General features: G+C 37.3%; 1 protein-coding gene across 1 annotated transcript in view; it reads left to right on the top strand.

Annotated features, from left to right (window-relative positions):
- The window catches only part of SRD5A2 (steroid 5 alpha-reductase 2), a 140,530-nt gene that overhangs the window by 12,488 nt on the left and 104,809 nt on the right, over positions 1-23,233 (top strand). Inside the window, exons 2-3 of the mRNA XM_011533072.3 lie at positions 1,275-1,449; positions 4,078-4,204. Of these exons, the coding sequence (XP_011531374.1) occupies positions 4,179-4,204 (26 nt within the window). The 5' untranslated portion in view covers positions 1,275-1,449; positions 4,078-4,178. The remainder of the gene's footprint in view (positions 1-1,274; positions 1,450-4,077; positions 4,205-23,233) is intronic.

The following is a 23,233-nucleotide window of genomic DNA, read 5'->3' as shown; positions in this document are numbered from 1 at the left end:
TGTTCCATAGAGAAACTATCTAGAGGAGGAAAGGATGAAGCTAAATAGAGGAAAGAGGGAAGGCTCTGAGAGCACAGACACAGTGCAGTTCTCGAGGTTCCTGGAGCTATTCTTTCTTGGTCCTTACTATTCTTTCTTCACTTTAGTGACCCATCCCAGGATCCCTGCAGTTTACTTCCCCCATCCTGGATTTTGCCCATCCCTCACTTTTTCTTTTGCTTGAGGTGCCATATGTGTCCATCTATAAATACAAAAAATAAACCTATCTCACCATCTCACGCGTGAGAATGCAGAGGAGGGCACAAATACAAAAGGTGCTAGCAATGTTGTGGGAGGTCTATGTCTGCAGGTTTGTTTTCCCTCTTTATAGCTGTACCTCAGAAAATAGTTTATCCTATTTAGGGGACCCTCTCAATGGTTTCATTCTGAATAACAATGTTCAATGATGTCTGGGGAGCACATGAGCCTGAAATAACCTTCATCCAGTGCTAGTTTTGGGTACTGATAATGTTGAGCTTTACCTGTAATTAATCTAATCAATCAATCTAATCAATCTAAAATTGATTAGAAATGTTGATCATTAATAATGACAAAATACATTTTGTCATTGTTTCAAAAGACAAATTAATGTAACTTTGGATGTTATAATAATACAGTAAAAGGTTTACTTATGGACATCAGAAATATGCAACTCTAGGGTGAATGGGGAAAAATACCCGTTATATATTATGTGAATATCCTATGGCTTGGGACAAAACTTCCAGGGACAGTATCATATACAGATTCAAAAAATGCTATACTGAAAAATCTAGAAATTACAATGATACACTCTGGGAAAATTGTGTTGAATGATTTATTGAAAGTGAGAATGCATCAGAAGAGTGTGATAAACTGATTTAAAGAAATGCATAGTATTCATTATAAAAAAGTTATCCCAGTAGTTTCCTATTATATTATTTTATATATAATTTTGAATATGGAGTAAAAATAATATGAAGTATTGATACATAGGTATTTGACTATTTGACATAAATTTCTAAAAGCATTGATTTGGGCTAATAATTTATTTTTTAATTTTCAAGTTTCCTCCTTGGGAAAATGGAAGGCTGTATTTGAATATACAAGGCAGTGGGTGTTGGGTGTCAATTGCTTGCAAGTCCTGTCTAATGTGTCAGGAGCCAGTGGATGGGTTATCTCTACAGGAATATAATCAATAAGGTGTGTATTCAGGTCGAGCTAACTGCTTGTCACTTTTTCTCTCTCATGAAGTGCAGCTAAAGAAAATAGTCATTCTCTTCTTAAAGTATTAAGATCCAGGCCAAAGGAAATGGAATAGCTAGCGGCTGTTTAAAATGTGGGAAACATAGCACTGCTAACCAGTTATCCACTCCAAATGAGAAATGTGATGTGCTAGAAAACATATTGGAGAAACATGGTTGGGTTCTAGAGGTAAGTACATAGTCCCTCTGTGGAATTGAGGCATCTGATAATTTAGAGGGCATGAATTTCAGGAGCTGACTGAAGTGGGAAACCCAGGAAAGAGAAGCACATCTTATAAGGCTTCCAAGGGCACTTAGTTTTCTGCTAGTCTTTCTAGGAATGCAGGTGCCTGGCAACTGAAGCACGTAGAACCGTCTATTCAAATCTGCCAATACTTGTTTAGAAAGGCTACTCAGAGGACAAAGCATATTTTCAAACTGTGAATTAGAAGCTTCAAATAGAATTGAAGCTCAGAAAAGATTATATGCCTCGAGGAAAGAACAGCCGTGTTCGTAATGATGTTTAGGTTCAAGTTCATAGATGCTCAAACTGGAGAGCCCATAAAGCATCCAGCAGTTTGGTTGCTTTCTTCTGAGGAATGTGAACTGAATAGATTCTTTTTCTTTTAAGAGGAAGCAGCTTTTGCTCTAACTGTTGGTCCACGGACTAACACATGTGTTAAGAAGAAATCACATATTGGCTGAAACTAAGGGACTCACATTGCCTTTGATGTGGCCTGGCATAAAATTTGGTCCATAATGAGCAACAGACACCAACTCTGTCTAGCTCAAGCTTCAACACTGCATGTTATTGGCAGGTTGAAATGCAGTTGCTAGGTGGCTGACTAGGGTCACCCAATTACTAAGGGAATCACTCCCACACACATGGCTGGACTAGACCTTAAGTGGTTTAAGCACTGAAAAAATTGTGTCTCTTCATATATGTAATCCAAATGGAAAACAGCACTAAACCACAAAGTAAAGTTTCTGCTGTTCCCAAAATGAGTATTTTAATTCTTTTGAAATTTTGGCATTTTAAAAACCTTTTTTCCTCCATTTTTTGATGCCTTTGCCATGCTGTTGTCTTCAGTACATGCTGAATTTATTTAATGGACAAGTCAACACTTCACAAACACTAGCCTCACAGTGAATCACCCTTATATTGTGCTGAGGGGGATGTAACTTATTAAAACCTCAAAGGAGGGCAACTTGGTAGTATTAGCAAAATAAAACATGCACACAGTCTTTGGCTCAACAATTCTCCTTCTAGGAACTCGTCTACAAAAGCACTCACACTTGTGCAAAGTAATACACATGCAAGGTTATTTAGCAAAATGATAGAAACAGTTTTCATACTCATAAAAAAATTAGACACATCCAGAGAGTGAACTGTTATACATTTGTTTCTTTAAAAAATGAGAGAATTCTTTATGTATTTTAGAGGCATTATCTTCAAGATATAATGTTAAATAAAAAGCAAATGTTCAAGATAATTTATATAATTTAGTGCCATTTGTGTAACATACACATTTACTTCTGTATGTACAGAGCACTTCTGGAAGGACACATCAAAACTGGCAGCAGCGTTTGTCTCTTAGGAGTAGAACTGAGGAGTTAGTTGGCCAGCAGAGATGAGAGAGGGGGTTATTTTTCACTGCATTTTTAATCTTTTGAATATTATAGCATTTATAACTAGCTTTCCAAAAAGGAATAAAATCAAATAATCTAGGAAAACTAATTAATTTTTGTGTTAGCAAATGACAAACCACCATATGTCTTAAACCCTTGAGGCAACTTAATAGTTAAAACCATGGAAGGTAAAACGGGGGAATGCCAACGATATGTTTTATTAAGAAAGGGAAAGATGGATTCTCAGATTTGATTAATATTACTGCACATGTGTTCCATGGGCTATCAGTGTGGGCATCACCTGAGAGCTTGTTAGAAATGCAGAATTTCAGCCCCCATCCCAGACTCACTGAATCAGATTACACAGTTTAAGAAGATTCCTGGATTGAATACACGCTAAGGTGTGAAAAGCACTGTTCTATATTCCTCTTCCACTATTCCTCTGTGTCTATGGTACAGCTGTTTTTGTTTTGTTTTGTTTTGTTTTCTGAGACAGGGTGTTACTCTGTCGCCCAGGCTGGAGTGCAGTGGTGTGATCTCGGCTCACTGCAACCTCCACCTCTCAGATTCAAGAGATTCTCCTGCCTCAGCCTGCCAAGTAGCTGGAATTACAGGCGCCCACCATGACGTCTCACTAATTTTTGTATTCAGTAGAGACAAGGTTTTGTCACATTGGCCAGGCTAGTCTCGAACTCCTGACCTTGAGTGATCTGCCCGCCTTGACCTCCCAAAGTGTTGGGATTATAGGCCTGAGCCACTGCACCTGGCCTATTGCTGGTTTTTTTGTTTTGCTTTGTTTTGTTTTGTTTTAACCAGTGTTAGATGTTTGGGGACAAGCTAAGCTTTGCTTGACCTGGCACAAGTATTAACAGAAGCCAGAAGTCTAACCTCATTTTTTTTTAATATTCTTTTTCAGACTGTGTACTTTTTCCTCTACAGTATGCTGGCTATGACTGCTGGTTTTCTCTCATATTTGTTCTCTTCTTCTTCCTCAGTAATAAAACTCTTAACTTCTTGTTAGGCACATGGAAGCCCATGTAATGGTTATATTCCTCAACCATTCTCATACCTAGATGCAGCCAAGTGACTAGGTTCTGGCCAAAGGGGTGTTTGCCTCTCATGGGACATGTCGTTAAAGAGAGGGGCTGTGCTCTTTTTGAATGTTCCTCCTTCATTTTTCCTGAAATAGGAATGCAGTGTCTAAAGCTCTAGCAGCCTTGGGTAGCCTTGGGAGTTGGGAGTGGGAACCATGCTTAGGAAGCAACTGGAGAAAAGAAGCCTAATGCAACCATGAGATCCTGGAGCCTGACATACAGGTAAAGCTCAACATTTACCTATTAATAATTAATGATGAGTTTCACATCTTGAAGGCGATTTTTTAATGTAAATAAAATTCTGAGGCTTTTGAATGTAGATGCAAGAAGGCACCTGACTTCTAACTGTGTGTGTGTGCGTGTGTGTGTGTGTGCACGCACACACCTGTTTGTTTGTGTTTGGAGCATCATAGCTAATTGATGAACTATGATCAACTGAAAAGTCATGTTTATGGTATTAAAATACATTCTAATTATCATTAATACAATTTTCCTAGAAAAGAAAGATGAAGGAGGTAAAGTTGCAAGTGATTTCAGTGTAGTGGAAGGAAACTAGTGAGGTAGGCGGGATAGACACGGCCTCAAGATGGAGTCCCATTATGCAGGAAGGTACCCCATGGTAAAGAAGGGCACCTGTGTGTGTGTAGTCAGGTGAATATACTTTATATGTGCATGAATTATATACGTGAGCCACACACACGTACACACACACCTAAACACATCAATCAATTGCACATTTACTCTTTCATTCAATATCTATTTTATTTCAGGTGCTAGGTAGGTGCTGCTGATATAAAGATAATAAAAACTAATGTTTATTGAGAAACTCATATTATCCAAGAATTATGTTGAAAGCTTTAGAGTATCCCATTAAATCCTCCCTAGAACACTTTGGGGAGGTATTTGTAATGAACATTTCTAACTTTTTAAAAACCAGAGTGAATATAAACTTTTATTTTTCTTTCATTTCTACAAATAAAAGATAGTTTCTAGTTTTAGCTCAACACAAATTGAACTAACGAGAATCAAATTTACATCTGTCAGAAAAATAACAAATAGATGACCATTTCGTTTTTAAAATTTTTTGAATTTTTAGTTTTTGTGGGTACATAGTAGGTGTATGTATTTATGGGATACAGAAGATGTTTTGATACAGGCATGCAATGTGAAATAAGCACATCATGGAGAATGGGTTATCCATCCCCTCAAGCATTTATCCGTTGAGTTGCAAACACTCTTTAAGTTATTTTAGAGTTAACTTACTATTGAGTATAGTCACCCTGTTGTGCTATCAAACAGTAGGTCTTATTCATTTTTTCTAACGTTTTTTTTAATACTCATTAACCTTCCCACCAGATAACCTTTTAAAGTAGAGGCTTGTCTTCAAAGCTTGAAACACGTGGCTCAAAATGTTGTGGTATGTGTTACTAGAGAAACAAGTGTGATGCCAGAATTAGGGTTATAGCTGACACAAAACAAGTTGTATCTGTTTCTCAAAATTGCGATGTAAGTAGGCATGCCACTTGTATCTTCAGAAAAGAATAAGTTGTTAACAACTAAACACATTAACTCAGTTTTGAGATAAATTAATAAGCTTGCCTTTGGGTTTGAATCTGGACATATTATTTATGAATATTAATTTTTCCTGAACCATTTTAGAGAAATATGAAAACATCACACCTCTCTGTCCTTTAATACTTCAGTGTGTATTTCCTAGGAACAAATACATTCTCTTTCATAATCAGTATAATTACAAATAAGGAAATTTAACATTTATGGATTATGATGATGCAATCAGCAGTCAATATTTGAATTTTGTCAATTGTTTCCAATATGTCCTTTATATCAAGGGTTCTCAATCCACAGGCTGTGGACTGGTACGGGTCCTGACCTGTTAGGAACCGGGCCACACAGCAGGAGGTGAGCCGCAGGCCAGAGAGCATCACCGCCTGAGCTCTGCCTCCTGTCAGATCAGCTGCCGCATTAGATTCTCACAGGAGCAAGAACCCTATTGTGAACTGCACATGCGAGGGATCCAGGTTGTGTGCACCTTATGAGAATTTAACTAGCCCCACCACCAGCCACTCCCAAAAAATTGTCTTCCATGAAATAGGTCCCTGGTGCCAAAAAGGTTGAGGACCAACGCTTTATAGGTATTCCTCTTCTTCCTCCATCTGTCCTGGCTCAAAATCCAGTCCTGGATCGTGCATCGCATTTTTTGGTCCTGGCTCTCTGGTCATTTAACTGGAACAATATCTCAGGCTTTCTTTGTGTTTTCTGACCTTGACATTTTTGAAGAGTGCAGGTTAGTTATTTTATAGTCTCTCAACTTGAGTTTGCCTGATGTTTTCTCATTATTACATATTACTTTGGTATTTTTATTTTTGCAGGATTAGCACGGAAGTGATGTTGCAGCAATATCAGTATGCTTATCCCAACATTTGACAATTTAATTTTGATCACTTGGTTGTGATGGTGCCCATAACATTCCTCCACTGTGAAGTTACTATCTTCCCCTATGATTAATAAATTGATTATGAAAGATTCTTTAAGGCTATTTGAATATTCAGCTCTTTAGAATGCTTTCACACATGAATTTTTAGCAACTATTGATGATTTTCTAATTCTATCCTTCTATAATTATTAGTTGCTATTCTATTGTAAGGAAGTGTTCCTCTCCCCATTTATTGACTGTTGATATATGTATTCATATCAGCATGGACACATGGATTTTACTTCACTCAGTGGATTATAATTGCTTATCACAATTACTTATTTTGAGGCTCAAATTTCCCCAGATTTAACCTGCGGTAGACTCTTGTATCTTTTTTACATAATTCTGTGAGCACTTCTTTACCTTCTGCCACAGGAAGATGTTCTGTGTTCATTATATATATTTTTTCTGCCCCTGTCCTGAAATTAGCCTTTTCTCCAAGTGCATTAGTTCCTTTTGGTGGAAAATGCTATTTATAAATAAAGATCTAGGTACTACGTATGCACATTGCCCTGATGTGTCATTGGTCCTATGCCCCCTCAGGAGACAAAGCTAAAAAAAAATACACAGATATATAAATAAGTACACACATATCTATATTTATTTGACTATTTATCTATCTATTTAAAAATCCTTCATGTTCATGCTGACTGTTCTAATGTAACATCGCATACCACATTTTCATCTTTTCTTTTTCCATATTTGTAATTTCTTTAACAATGAGAAAACTGGCTCGAATTGTCTTGAATATATTTATACATTTGCTCAAACCAAGAAGACACAAGGAGTAGTTTGATAATCTCTAATCCATACTTCCGTGCAAAGCAAATGTAACAATTATATTAAAATTTGCCAATTTCCTTGAGGTAAATTTCATATATAATGAAATGCACAAATCTTAAGAGGACTATTTGATGAATTTTTATGAATGCTTGCACTTATGTAACTCAAACCTGTATCAAGATACAGAATGTTTTTATCATGCTAGAAAGATTTCCATGTCCCTTCCCATGCAGTGTCCCTCCTGCCCAGATAACTATTTTTCTGATCTTTTTTTTTCCACCGTAAATTAACTTTACCTGCTTTGGAACATTATATAAATGGAAGCACTGAATATATACTTTTTTGCATACATAGCATAATGTCTATGAGATGAATCCACAATTTTGCATGTGTCAATAGTATCAGTAGTAGTCACTTTTTGTCTGAGTAGTAGTTTGGCTAAGTTGTTGGAATATATAGAATACAATTTTTGGAGTCTATTCTCCTCTTAGTGGACATTTGGGTTGTTTATAGTTTTAGGTTATTATTAGTAAAGTTTCTATGTACTTTCTTGTATGAGTATGTTTGTGGACTTTTCATTTTTTGGGGGGGATGAATACCTTGGCGTTGAATTGTTGGATCATAAAGTAGGTGTATTTTAACTTTATAAAACTGTCAACATTTTTGTTAACTTTTTTGGTGTTATTCTTTTTATTTTCAGACATTCTAGTAAATGTGTAATGGCATTATGTAGTGGTTTTAATTTTAGCTTATCTGATGACTAATGATATTGATAACTTTTTTGATTATGAGCTATTTTTCTATCTTCTTTTGTGAAGTGTTTGTTCAAGTATTTCACCTATATTTTAATGGGGTTTTTGTCTTTTTAATATTGAGTTGTAAGAGTTCTCTATAGATTCAGATGCAAGGACTTGGTCAAAAAGTACTTGGTCAGAAAGGTCAAAAAAATTGTCTCCTATGTTTTCTTCTTGAAGTTTTACAGTTTCAGGTTTTAAATTTAGCTTTATGATCCACTTTGAATTAATTTTTGTGTGTGCTGTGAATTATAGGTAAAAAATCCATATGTTTGGTATATGGACATCTAATTTTTCCACACTATTTATTGAAGACTTTCCTTTCTCAACTGAATTACCTTTAAGCCTTTGTCTGTCTCAGTTGATCACATTTGTGGATCTATTTCTGGGCTATATTTTGTTACAATATTCTATGTTTCTATCTTTTCACCAATACCATATCACCTTTATTGTGATATCTTTTTAGTATGTCTCGGAATCAGCTTGTGTAAGCCCTTCAACTTTATTCTTTTTTTTCAGACTTATTTGGCTATTCTAGTTGCTTTGCTTTTCCATATAAGCTTAGAAGCTTAATAATTCTACTGAAAATCCTGTTGAGATTTTGACTGAGGTTGCAATGAATCTGTAGATTAATTGGAAGTTAAGTGATATTTTAACAATGTTGAGTGATCCAAAGAGTGTTGTTTTTTTCCCCCAGGAATGGATCTTGAATTCTGTCCAAACTTTTTCTGTGTTCATTGAAATGATTATATATAGCTTTTCTCTTTACTCTCTTAATCTGTGAATTACATTAATTGATTTTCAAATGTAGAGCCAACCTTTCTATCTTAGGAATAATACCACGTGTTCATAATCTATTACCTTTTAAATATATTTCTGTATTTGATTTGTTAATATATTGTTGAAGATTTTTATAAGAGATATTGTAAAGGATGGTCACAAGTTTATGTCTTGTATAACATTCTTTATGCCTGAAGAACTTCCTTTACTATTTCTTGTAATGTAAGCCTGCCAGAAATGAATTGTCTCAGCTTTTGAAAGCATGAAAAATTATTTTACCCTCATTTTTCAAAGATACTTTTACTGCACATAGAATTATGGCTAACAATATTTTCCTTACATACTTTAAAGATGTCACTCCATCAACTTGCTTTCACAGTTTCTGACAAGAAGTCTGTTCCTCTTTATGAAATGATTTTTTTACTCTGTATATCTTTGATATTTCATCTGCAATTTTGGTCTTCAGAAGTTTAAATATAGAGGGTCTTCTGCTTCCAAAATGGTGATGTGAGATAAGTTGGCTTTGCTCCCCATCATAGAAAACTAAAAACAAATATACAACACTGAGATTTTTACCAACAACAACCTAAAGCTCAAATATGAGGATGAGACAGTTCCCAGGGCCATAGAGAAGTGGAAAAATGAGTAGATGGGAGGAGAATAATAAGACTTTTACATTTGCATTACCCTTCCCCACATTCTGCTCAGCACCAACACACAGAAAATCGCCACCTAACTCACAGTTTCTTCATTGGAAGAAGTGAAATTGAGGTAACCAGTGATCTTTTCCACCTTTTTGGGTTCCCTGGCAGGAGACTTTTTTTTTTGCCTTAAACCACAGGAAGCATCATGAGTGCCCCAAAGAGAAATATCTCTGAGGACAGGCAGGGACAAAGCGGGTAGGTAGGACTACCATCCCCATCCCTGGGGACTCTGCTTTGTAACTTGGCCAAAGGAGACACCAAATCAGAGTGGCTGTTCAGTGGCACTATGCTGCAGGAGGTATGGTTCACAGGTCCCTGAACATGAACCCCTGGTCAGCCTTTCCACACTGCCAGATAATCCCTTTGGATCTCCCCTATTTGGAACAGGCAATGCTCCAACTATTTAATAGAGCCGTGGCAAATGTGAGCTTAAGGAACTATCTAGAGCTGAACAGGAGGCAGAGACATAGTGGTAAAGGTTTACTAAGCAAATATACTAAATGAAAACCAAAACAAGCCAGTCAGAGAATTTGGGGATTAATAACTAATCCTAAAATGCAAAGACATAAATAAAAACTCACAAGAAACAATAACAAACAAGGAACCACAAACTCCCCAAAAGGACAAAGAAAAAATCCAGTGACTGACCCTAACAAGAAGGTGATTTGTCAGCTCTCTGAACAAGAGTTCAAAATAGCAATTTTAAAGAAACTTAGTGATCTTTAAGATAACACAGAAAAGCAATTCAAAAATGTATCAGAAAAATTGAACAAAGAGATTAAAATTAAAAAAAAAACACACAGCTGAGAACTGAGAAATGCATATGCTGAACTGAAGAACTCTTTAGAGGCTCTAAATAGCAAAATGAACTAAGCAAAAGAAACAATGAATGAACTCAAAGACCTGCTATTAGAAAATACACAGTCATAGAAGAAAAAAGAAGAAAGAATGAAAAGGAGCAAAGACTGCCTGCAAGATATTTAAAAATTACATTAAAAGACCAAATCTAAGAATTAATGGTGTTCAAGAGGCATCTGAACAAGAGCAAGGGGAAGAAAGCTTATTTAAACAAATAATAGAAAACTTTCCAAAATTAAAAATATAAATATCAATGTATAGGAAGATCTTAGAACACTAAACAGATTCAACCCAAAATAAGGCTACCCCAAACATATAAGAATCAAATTCTCAAATGTCAAGGACAAAGAGAAGATTCTAAAAGCAGCAAAAGAAAAGATGCAAATAACACCTAAAGGAGTTCCAATTTGTCTTGCAACAGGCTTTTAAATAGAAACATACAGGCCAGGAGGGAGTGGAACAACATTTTAGGGTGCTTAAAGAAAAAAAAAATAACTGCCATGTGAGAAATGGTATCCAGCAAAATTATAATTCAGATATGAAGGAGAGATAAACTCTTTCCTAGACAAACAGAAGCTGAGAAAATTCAGCACCACTAATCCTTTCGTATAAAAAAATACTAAAGGGAGTTCTTCAATCTGAAAGAAAATAAAAACACTAACATGTGAAAGGAAACTTTTCAAGGTATAAAGCCCACTGGTAAAATAAAGTACATGGACACACTCAGAATACTCCATCACTGTTTTTGTGGTATGCAATTCCTCATAACTATAGTATGAAGCTCAAAAGATTAATCTATCAAAAACAATAATAGCTACAGCAACCGGTTAAGAGACAGGTACTATAATAATATGTAAACTGAGACAACTAAAAGTAAAAATATGGGAGTTGGGCGGGGATGGAGTTAAAGCGTAGAATTTTTTTGTGTATTTGTCTTTGCCTGTGTTTCTATTCTTTTGTTTGTGATCTAAGATAAGTTGTCATCTCTTTAAAATAACTTGCTGTAAGATTTTTTAAAATAGCCTCATGGTAACTGCAATGCAACAACCTATAATAGATTCACAAAAATAAAAAGGAACAAACTAAAAGATATTCCCACTTAACCACAAAGGAAGATAGTAGGAAAAGAAGGGGGGAAGAGAGATGTCCCAAAACAACCAGAAAACAAGCAACAAAATGGCAGTAGTAAGACCTTACTTATCAATAGTAACACTTAATATAAATGGCCTCAGTTCTCTAATTCAAAGGCACAGAGTGACTGAATGGACAAAAAAGCAAGACCCAATTATATACTGTCTTCAAGAACCCTAGTCACCTATAAAGACACACATAGGCTGAAAGTAAAAGGGTGGAAAAAATATTTTATGCAACTTGAAAAAAAAAGAGAAGAAATAGCTATATGTAGATGAAATAGACTACAAATCAGAGACTATAAAAAAAGACAAAAAAGTCACTATCCAGTTATAAAGCGGTCAATACAGCAAGAGGATATAACAATTGTAAATATCTATGCACCCAACAAAGGAGTTCCTAGTATATAAAGTAAACATTAATAGGTCTAAAAGGAGAAATAGACTGGAATACAATAATGATAGGGGACTTTAACACCCCACTGTTACTAATGGACAGATCATCCAGACAGAAAATCAACAAAGAAACATTAAACTACATACTAAACCTAGTAAACCTAACTAATATTTACAGAACATTTCATCCAACTGCTGTAGAATACACATTCTTTTAATCAGCACATGGAACATTCTCCAGAATAGACCGTATCTTAGACCACAAGACAAGTCTAAACAAATTTAAAAACAGAAATCATATCTGGTGACCTTCCTGACCACAGTGAAATAAAACTAGAAATCAAAAAACAAGGGGGAACCTCTGAAAATACACAAACAAATGGATATCAAACAACCGGATCCTGAATGAGCAATGGATTAATAAAGAAATTGAGAAGAAAATTTAAAAATTTCTTGAAATAAATAAAAATGAAAATGCAACATATCAAAATCTATGGGATACAGAAAAAGCAGTACTAACAGGGAAGTTTATGGCAATAAATGCTTACATCAAAAAAGTAGAAAGACTTCAAATAAACAACCTAATGATGCATCTCAGTGAACTAGAAAAGGAAGAATAAGCCAAACCCCAAATTAGTAGAAGGAAATAGATAATAAAGATCAGAGCAAATATAAATGCAATTGAGACAAAAGTTATAGATCAATGCAATAAAAATTTGTATTTTTAAAAGATAAAATTAACAAACCCTTAGCTAGACTAAGAAGAGAAGAGAGAAGACTTAAATGAATAAAATCAGAAATAATAAAGAAAATATAACTGATGCAGTCAAACCCCAAGACTGGGGCTCAGCTTGGGAGGGTTCTTGGTTTTACTCAGGAATGAATTCAAGAGTGAGCTGAGGGTGAAACAAAGTAAGTTTATCTGAGCAACAGTGTATAGAAAAATGGCTGCTTCATAAACAGATTAGGGATATCCCATAGGCAGAGTAGCACTCAGATTGAAGGCTAGTTATATTTACACCTACTACTAATTATATACTAATTAAGGGGTGGGTTATTTACAAACTTTCTGGACAAAGGGCAGGGAGTTCCTAGAACCATATAAATTGACTTCCAGGTTGTTGCCATGACATTTATAAACTGTTGCTGGTGGGAATGTCTTATGAAAATACATTGTAATACCTAGTCCTACCTGTTTTTGTCTGGCTTCTTTGCTACAACCTGTTTTGTTCAGCAGGGTCATGACCAGTGCTCAGAAGACAAACCCTGCTGATCTCCTACCTGGTAACAAATGAGACCTCAGAAGTACAAAGTGTCATTAGAGACTATTATGAGCCACTACAAACCAACAAGTTGGAAAACTTAGAGGAAATGGATAAATTCCTGGACATATACAACTTACCATGATTGAAGAATGATGAAATAGAAAACCTCAATAAACAAATTACAAGTAATGAGATCTAAGCCATAGTAAAAAATCTCTCATCAAAGAAAAGCCCAGGACCAGATGGCTTCACTGCTTAATTTTACCAAACATTTAAAGAAGAACTAATACCAGTTCTATTCAAACTTTTCAAAAAAATGGAAAAGAAGGAAATACTTGCAAACTCATTTCTGAGGCTGGAGTTATCCTGATACTGAAACCAGATAAAGATACAATAAAAAAAGAAAAATAGAGGCCAATATCCCTGATGAACATAGATGCAAAAATCCTCAACCAAATGCTAGCAAACTTAATGCAACAACATATTAAAAAGATCATTTACCGTGATCAAATAGGATTTGTTCCAGAGATACAAGGTTAGTTCAACATATGCAAATCAGTAAATATAATACTTCATATTACAGAATCCAGAACAAAAACCATATGATTATTTCAATAGAACCTGCAAAAGCATTTGATAAAATTCGGCACCCCTTTATGATAAAAACCCTCATCAACATGGGTAGAGGAGGGACATAGTTTTAGAAAAGGCCACATATGACAAACCCACAGCTAACATCATACTCATGGGGAAAATGTGAAGACCTTTCCTCTAAAGACTGGAACAAGACAAGGATGTCCACTTTCACTGCTATTATTCAACATAATAGTGGAAGTCCTTGCCAGAGCAATTAGACAAGAGAAAGAAATAAAGGGCATCTTTTATTAAAAGGAGTCACATTAGCCTTGTTTTGTTGGCATATAGTTGTTCATAATTCAGTAAAGTTGCAGGATACAAAATCAATGTACAGAAATCAGTGCATTTATATGCCAACTGTGAATAATCTGAAAAACATAAAGAATGCAACCTCATTTATGACAGCTATAAAAATATAAAATACCTAGGAATCAGTCTAGCCAAATAAGTGAAAGATCTATATAAGAACAACTGTAAAACTCTGATGAAAGAAATAGAAAAAGACACAAAAATGGAAAGCTACTCAATGCTCTTGGATTGGAAGAAATAATAGTGTAAAATGATAATACTACCCAAGGAAATACACAGATTCAATGCAATCTGTATAAAAAAATGACATTCTTCACAGAAATAGAAAAAAAATCCTAAAATTTATATGGAATAACAAAAGTTCCTGAACAGGCAAAGCAGTCCTGAGCAAAAACAGCAAAGCTAGAAGCCTTACACTACTTGACTTCAAACTTTGCCACAAAGATACAGTAACATCATAGAATTGGCATAAAAATAGACTCCTAGACCAATGGAACAGAATACAGTATCCAGATATAAATGCATTCATTTACAATTAACTCATCTTTGAAAGGAGTACCAAGAACATACAATGGGAAAAGAAAATCCTTTTCAATAAATTGTGTTACGAAAATTACATGAAAAAGAAAAAATCTACACCTCTATCTTTCAGCATACACAAAATTTAAATCAAAATGTATTGAAGACTTAAATATAAGATCTGAAACTATGAAACTACTAGAAGAAAATAATGGAGAAATGTTCTAGGACGTTGGTCTGGGCAAAGATTTTTTTGGCATAACACCTCAAAAGTACAGGCAACTGAAGTAAAAGAGACAATTGGGATTTATTTAGTAAATAAAGCTAAAATACTTCTAAAAAGCAAAGGGAGCAATCAACAAAGTGAAGAAACAATCCACAAAATGAGAGAAAATATTTGCAACTATCCATCTGCCAAGGGATTAATAACAAGAATATATAAGGAACTCAAACAACTCTGTAGGAAAAAAATCTAATAATCCAATTAAAGAAGGGAAAAAGATCTGAATAGACATTTCTCAAAAGAAGATATACAAATGGCCAACAGGTATATAAAAAATGCTTAACATCACCTATCATCAGAGAAATGCAAATCAAATCAAAACCACAATGTGACGTTAAGTCATCCCAGTTAAAATGGCTTGTATCAAAAAGTGGCAATAACAATAACACATGCTAGCAAGGATATGGAGAAAGGGGAAAGGGGAACCCTCATACATTGTTGGTGGGAATGTAAATTGGTACAGACACTGTGGAGAACAGTTTGGAAGTTCCTTAAAAAACTAAAATTAGAGCTATCATATAATCCAGCAATTCCAGTACTGGGGTCTTATCTGAAAGATAGGAAATCAATGTATCAAAGAGATAGCTGCACTCCCATCTTTATTGAAGCACTATTCACAATATCCAAAATACAGATTCAAGCAGTGTCCATCAATGAATGAGTGAATCAAGAAAATGTGCTACATATACCCAATGGAATATTATTCAACCATAAAAAAGAATGAAATCCTGTCATCTGTAGTAACATGGATGGAAATGGGAGGTCATTATGTTAAGTGAAATAAGCCAAACAAAGAAAAACAAATATCGCATGATCTCATTTATATGTGGGAGCTAAAAAAGTAGAACTCATGAAGATAGAGAGTAGACTGATGGTTACCAGAGGCTGGGAAGGGAAGGGAGTAGACAAGGATAAAAGGAAATAAAAGAATATGAATGTATTTATTACCACTAAACTGTACCCGTAGAAATGGTAAAGATAGTAAATTATATGTATGTATACATATATATCCTTAATAAAAAATAAAAAATAAATATTATTCTGAGTATTGGTATTTGTTTTGATTCTGGTTCTCTGAGCTTATTGGAGGTGAGGTTTAGTGTCTTTTAATATTTCTTCAAAATTCTTGACCACTGTCTCTTCAGATATACGCCCCCATCCTCTATGTTTTCCCTCTCTAGGATTCCAGTTACACATATATTAACACATTTGGTATTATTCCACAGCTTTAGATGCTCTATTTTGCCTCTCTACCTTTTTTTAAACCTTTTTTCTTTCTTTGTGTTTCAGTGTAACTTCTTTTGACCTGTCTTCAAGTTCAGTGATTCTTTTCTTAAAACTGTCCAGTCTGTTAAAAAGTCTGTCAAAACAATTGTTCATCTCTTTTATCATGTGTTTTATTTCTAGCACTTCCATTAAATTTTTTTTTTTGCAGTTGCAAGATTTAATAGAGTGAAAACAGAGCTCCCATAAAATGGGAGGGGACCCTAAAGGGGTTGCTGTTGCTGGCTTGAATGCCTGGGTTTATATCCCAATCATTGTGCACTCAAGCATTATATCCCCCTGTGCTCTCAAGCGATAGATGATTGGCTATTTCTTTACCTCCTGTTTTTGCCTAATTAGCATTTAAAAAAATTTTTTTTATTATACTTTAAGTTCTAGGGTACATGTGCACAATGTGCAGGTTCCTAATTAACATTTTAGTGAGCTCTCTTTACTACCTGATTGGTCAGGTGTGAGCTAAGTTGCAAGCCCTGTGTTTAAAGGTGGATGTGGTTACCTTCCCAGCTAGGCTTAGGGATTCTTAGTCAACCTAGGAAATCCAGCTAATCCTGTCTTGCAGTCCCCCCGCTCAACAGGAAAACCCAAGTGCTGTTGGGGAGGTTGGCTGACGACTGCTCTAACTGCTTCCTGCTGAATTGGGGCATAGTAGGGGTTGTGCAGTTGAGATTTCCTCGGGAGGGGTGCCTTCGATGTCATCAACATCGGAGTATGGAATAGCAGGCCGGTCCAGGGGACCATGGTAGATCTTAGTCATGGACTGCATCTGCGGCTCCATTTGAAGAATGATTTATAGTTCACAGCTTTGATTCTGGAAGAGACAAACTTAGCAAGGAGGTTAAAGATACAGGGATTGAAATGGCCTGCAGTGCAGGGAATTATTTCTTTGGCACACTTCACAGGCCCTGACTATCTGCTTGACAGTTTTGAAAAGACCTGGTCCAGTAAATAATAATTTGGCCATCTGATGGGTGCTATCAATGCCTAAGTGAAAGGTTTGGTGAAGGGTTTTAAGTAATTTCCATTGATTAGCTGCAGGCAAAAGTATTTTTCCTTCTTCAGTGGCTAGCCATCCCGAGGGGAGGAAACTGTGTCTTCTTGAGGCTCCCCATTCAATTTATCCTGTTGAGTACTGGGGCTTGGTTTCCCAGAGGGGATTACCCCATATTAGGGGTCCTTCTATAAACATTTCTAATGGAGGGTCCCACCTTGTGGCTCTTTTGGCTTCAATATCTGCTTGGCGGTTCCCTTCTATTCTTTCCTTTCCTTTCTCCTGACCCCGGCAGTGTAAGACTGCCACCTCTTTAGGTGGCATGTACAGCCAATAATAATCTCCTGATGGCTTCCTGATGTTTGATAGGTGTTCCCTCGGAAGTTAGGAATTCCTTTTCTCTCCATATTGCTGTGTGGGCATGGAGGACTAGGTAAGCATGCTTAGAGTCTGTATATATATTTACCCTTTTTCCTTCTCCTAATTCTAGTGTATAATGGCCCCTGCTTTTCCTAGGATGTCTCTCCCTAACAGAGGAGTGGGGTTTTCAGGTATAATTAGAAAGGCATGTGAAAAGAGTAAAGTTCCTCAGTCACAACTTTGTGGCTGGGAGAAGTATCTAGTGACTGCGTGTCCTAGGACCCCTCAGATAGTGACAGATCTGGAGGACAGTTGTCCAGGACAGGAGAATAAGACCGAGAAGGCCGTGCCAGTGTCCAGGAGACAGTTAACCTTCTGGCCCCCAACGCTCAAGCATACCCAGGGCTCTGTGAGGGTGATGGCATGGGCTGGCACTTGCCCCGGGCACCCTCAGTCCTGCTGCTGAATCATCTGGTTAGTGGCTTCTGACTCAGAGGACCTTCGTCCCCTGGGGCAGTGGGCCTTCCAGTGATTCCCTTGACATAAGGGGCATGGACAGGGGGAGGCTTATTTCTATTTGGACAATCTTTTTTAAAGTGTCTTTGTAGACTGCACTGGAAGCAATCCCTATTAGGCATTCAATTTGCCCAGGCTTTCCGTGTTCCAGAGCCACCAAAGTCCACTTGCCTGAGGGCCATGACTCAAGCAGTGGCCTTTTTCTTATGTCGTTTGTCCCATTCTGCCTGTTCCTCCTGATCTCTATTATAAAAAACCAAGGTTGCCAAGTTCAATAGGGTTTCTAAGTTTTGCTCTGGACCTAAGGTGGACTTTTGAAGTTTTTTTTTTTAATGTCTGCAGCTGACTGAGTGATAAACTTATCCTTTAAGATTAGTTGGCCTTCAATAGAGTCAGGTGAGAGAGAGGTATACTTCCTCAATGCCTCCCTTAGTCTCTCCAGAAAGGCAGTAGGATTTTCTTCCTTTCCCTATGTTATAGGGGACATCATTGAATAATTTATAGGCTTCTTCCTAGTTTTCCTTAGTCCTTCTACCACGCAAGTTAGTAAATGTCTGCAGCACCAATCTCCTTGTTCTGATTCTGTGTCCCAATGATGGTCTACACTGGGAACTGCCTGCTGGCCTGTGGGGAGTTGTTCTCTTTCCTCTGTTGTCATCCTATCATTGACCTGACTGAGATAACAGAGATCGCCAAACTCTCTGGCTGCAGTTATGGCAGCACTTCTTTCATTTGGGGTTAGTGTCTGATCTAGCAGTAACATTATATCTCTCCATGTCAGATCAAAGGACTGTCTTAACCCTTGTGAAACATCAATATAGCCATCAGGGTTATCTGAGAATTTACCTAGGTCTATTTTAATTTGCTTCAAGTCTGACAGGAAAAAAGGTACGTACACTCTGGCTGGGCCGAATTCTCCAGAATACATCTTAGGGGTGTTTTTGCCTTGGGGGGGAACGTTTCCCATCTGAAAAAAAACAGGGGATGCCAGTACCCCTAGTCATTTTCCAATAAGCATTAGTCGTAGAGTGTCCTCTAAGGTCCTAATGCTTATTCTTTTCCAGGGTGCGTAAACACCCATGGACCTCTGCTTATCGGATTAGTTATGCTCACTGATGTAGCAGTCCTGCACCTGTTTTCCCACCTTTCTTGACCACAAAGAAAGGGGTCTGGGCTGCTGGATTCTAGTGGTCCTTTACTAGCCTGCCCAACGTTGCCTTTGTGCTCAGAGATGAGTTCTAGAGCTGGGCTAGGTTCCTGAGTATTTCATAACAACCCAGACGCCCCATCAAGATGCACTCCCATAAACAACTGTTCTTATGCAAATTCATTTCAGAGAAGGTATAGGTAACCTTTTGAGTCAGGATTGGGATAAAGTCTTTTTGATTCTGTAAGTACTTTAAGGCTTGGCTGAGTGCAAACAGCTTGCACGCACGTTTGAGCAGACCAATTATTAGGCAATTCTCCTAACTGCTTCCAAAAGAGTCTCCCTATCAATTACTGAACACCCATTGTGTTTTTTACTCAATCACCTGAGAGGAGCCATCTACCCTTCTGTTCTGAAGGGAGTTCCTTCTAGGTCTGGTCGGACCTTTGTATGGTAATTAAGATTTAAATCCCCTGTTAGGAAATCTGCTGGGTTAAGGGAATTTTCAGTGGTTAATGTTAAATCACCTTTTTCTAACAGAATAGCCCCATACTTTAAGATTTTTGAGTTAGTAAGCTACCTTTTTCTTTTTTGACTTAGAATAATTCTGAATTGGTGAGATGTGCTCACAGTGAGGTTTCCTCTAAAAGTTATTTTTCTACTTTCTTCTGTTAGCAAAGCAGTTGCCGCTACAGATTGAATGCATTTGGGCCATCCGTGGGTTCCTGGGTTAAGGATTTTTGATAGGAAGGCTACTGGTTGTCAGTGGTCTCAGTGTTTTCAGGCTATGCCCTTGTTTACACTGACAACAAGGTAGTATTGGAGTGTTATAGGGTCATAGAGAAGACTTTCCATGATGAATTATAGGTTTTAAATTTACCCTGGCTTTTAAAGGAATAAGGCACACTGTTTTTTCTTTACTACTTCTATCTCTCTTTTTCTCTCTCTCCCTCTCTTTTCTCTCTTTTCTCTCTCTCTCTCTGTCTCTCTCTCTCTGTATCTTCCCTCCTTGACTTACTCAATTTGCTTTCATCCTAATCTCTTACGTTTTCATAGACCCAGTTCCAGTTGTTAAAGTACTGGGTTATCAGTTCTAAGGCCCTGGCCAAGGAGCCAAGGCTTGGAGATTGTATTGCAGAGGGGTAAGCTGGGTAGAAATCAGGGGAGGAGAGCATCTTACAAATGGGAGAGCAATCCTCCTAGCCATTTGCAAACTTGGGGCCCTGGCAAGGGTGGTGGGGAATGGGTCCCACATAACTGCCCATATTGAGGGCTGTATGCCTAAATTGAGAGGGACACCAGGGACAGGACTCTCTGGGTTCATAGCCTAGATGCCTAAGGACACAGTGTAGAGCTTCCTTAGATCACTTTGGAAATACAACTTGCTCTAATACTTGGGAGAGGAAATGAAAGTCTGAACCATTGGTACCTAGGAGGCAGGGATCAGAGGAAGTAGACTCAGAGGTAAGTAGAATTTTGGGGCTACATTTTCAAGAAAGTCATGGTCGGAACCCAGGAGGTAAGGGTCAGACAGAAAGTTAGGGGTGCACGCATGGGCAACTGTTGAGTAGAGACTTCTGGCTGCACCATGATCTCAACCAGCTAATGCCAGGAGTTTGGGATGACACCTTTCTGCCTCTAGTCGGCCCTTGGCTTCCCCAGGAAAATTGAAAGTGGAAGCTGGTTCTAGGCAGACCAACACTCCCAACCCAGAAGGGTTGGGGATTGCTAGAAAGCCCTTTCCCAGATAGCCTCACACCTGAGTCTTAAGTCTGGCGGCTATGCTAATCATTTTTAACTGGCTGATGGGTGCCCAGTGTTTTCCTCCAATTCTAAGGAAGGATAGGACAGAATAGCAAGCAAAAGTGGTCCAATATTACTCACTGCTTTGGAGGTCCCTTCATGGTCGCCAAAATGTTACCGGGTGGTCCTTGTTCTTAGAGCTCCCAAGATGGTGGTGGGCCGCTTCCAAGATGGCGGCAAGCCTCTTGTTCTCTGACCTGGGGTTCTTGGCCTCATGGATTCCAAGGAATGAAATCTTGGGCCATACAGTGAGTGTTATAGCTCTATTAGAAGCCATGGGTCGTGGAAGAGAGCTGTGGAACCCAGTGACTAGTGTTTTGCTCAATTAGGACAAACCTTCTCCATGGGTAGATGGTTAGTGCTGATTATTCAGTGTTTTCTAGACCGGCATTGGGGGCAGTGTTTTCCTGTACTGGCCAAGCACCACCCTAGTTTAAACAAGGTTCACCAATAAGTTTTTAATTTGGTTTGAAACTGAGAAAAAAATCATACATTTAAGAACACTATATAACACTAAAATTAAGGAAATGCAGAGAAAACCTGTGAAATACTACATAAGAAGGCCAACCCCAAGACACACAGTCATCGGATTCTCCAAGGTCAAAATGAAAGAAAGAATGTTAAAGGCAGCCAGAGAAAAGGGGAAGATCACATACAAAGGGAACCCCATAACACTAACAGTAGACCTGTAAGCAGAAACCCTACAAGCCAGAAGAGATTGGGAGCCTATTTTCAACCAAGAATGTCATATCCAGCCAAACTAAGCTTCATAAGTAAAGGAGTAATAAAATCCTTTTCAGATAAGCAAATACAAAGGGAATTTAACACACCTGCCTTATAAGAGGTCCTGAAGGGAGTGCTAAATATGCAAAGAAAAGACCATTATCAATCACTACATAAGCACACTTAAATACATAGACCAGTGACACTATAAAGCAACAACACAAAGAAGTCTGCATAATAACCAGCTAACAATATGATGACAGGATCGAATCCACACATATCAATACTAACCTTGAATGCAAACAGGCCAAATGCCCCAATTAATAGACACAGAGTTGGCAAGTTGGATAAAGATGCAAAACCCAGTGGTACGCTGTCTTCGAGAGGCCCATTGTACATGAAATAACACCCATAGGCTCAAAGTAGAGGGATGAAGAAAAATCGACCAAGCAAATGGAAAACAGAGAAAAGCAGGGGTTGCTGTTCTAATTTCAGAAGAAACAGACTTTAAAATAACAGAGATTAAAAAAAAGACAAGAGCATTATGTAATGGTAAAGGGCTTGATTCAACAAGAAGACCTACCTATCCTAACTATATATGCACCCCACACAGGAGCATCCAGATTCATAAAGCGAATTTTTAGAGACCCTCAAAAAGATTAAGACATCCCACAATAATAGTGAAAGATTTTAACACCCCACTGACAGTATTAGATAAATCATCGAGGCAGAAAACTAACAAAGATGTTTGGACCCAAATTCAACACTTGACCAAATGCAACTAATAGACATGTACAGAACTCTCCACCCCCAAACAACAGAATATACATTCTTCTCATCTGCAGATGACACACACTATAAAATTGACTACGTAATTTGGCATAAAACCATCCTCTGCAAATTAAAAAAACAACAAAAAAATCATACTTACCATATTCTTTGGACTACAGTGCCAAAAAAATAAAAATCAATGCTAAGAAAATCACTCAAAACCATACAATTAAGTGGGAATCAAACAACATGCTTCTGAATGACTTCTAGGTAAATAATGAAATTAAGGCAGGATTCAAGAAATTCTTTGAAATGAATGAGAGAAAAAGGATAAACATACCAGAAGCTCTGGGAAACAGCCAAAGCATGTTAAGAGGGAAGTTTACACTACTAAGTATCCACATCAAAACTTTAGAAAGATCTCGATTTAACAAACCAACATCACAACTAGAGGAACTAGAGAAACAAGGGAAATTAACCTGAAAGCTAGCAGAAGACAAGAAATAACCAAAATCAGAGCTGAACTGAAGGAAATTAAGACACACACACACACACACACACACCCCCGTACAAAAGAACAGTGAATACAGGAGCTGTTCTATGAAAGAATTAATAAGATAGACCACTAGCTAGAATAATAAAGAAAAGAAGATGCAATTAAATGCAATCAGAAACAACAAAGGGGACATTGCCACTGAACCCACAGAA

This window comes from Homo sapiens, chromosome 2, assembly GCF_000001405.40.
Source record: "Homo sapiens chromosome 2, GRCh38.p14 Primary Assembly".
Lineage (NCBI taxonomy): Eukaryota > Metazoa > Chordata > Mammalia > Primates > Hominidae > Homo > Homo sapiens.
Note: the sequence above shows the minus strand (reverse complement) of the source record. Positions and strands in the feature narration are given on the sequence as shown.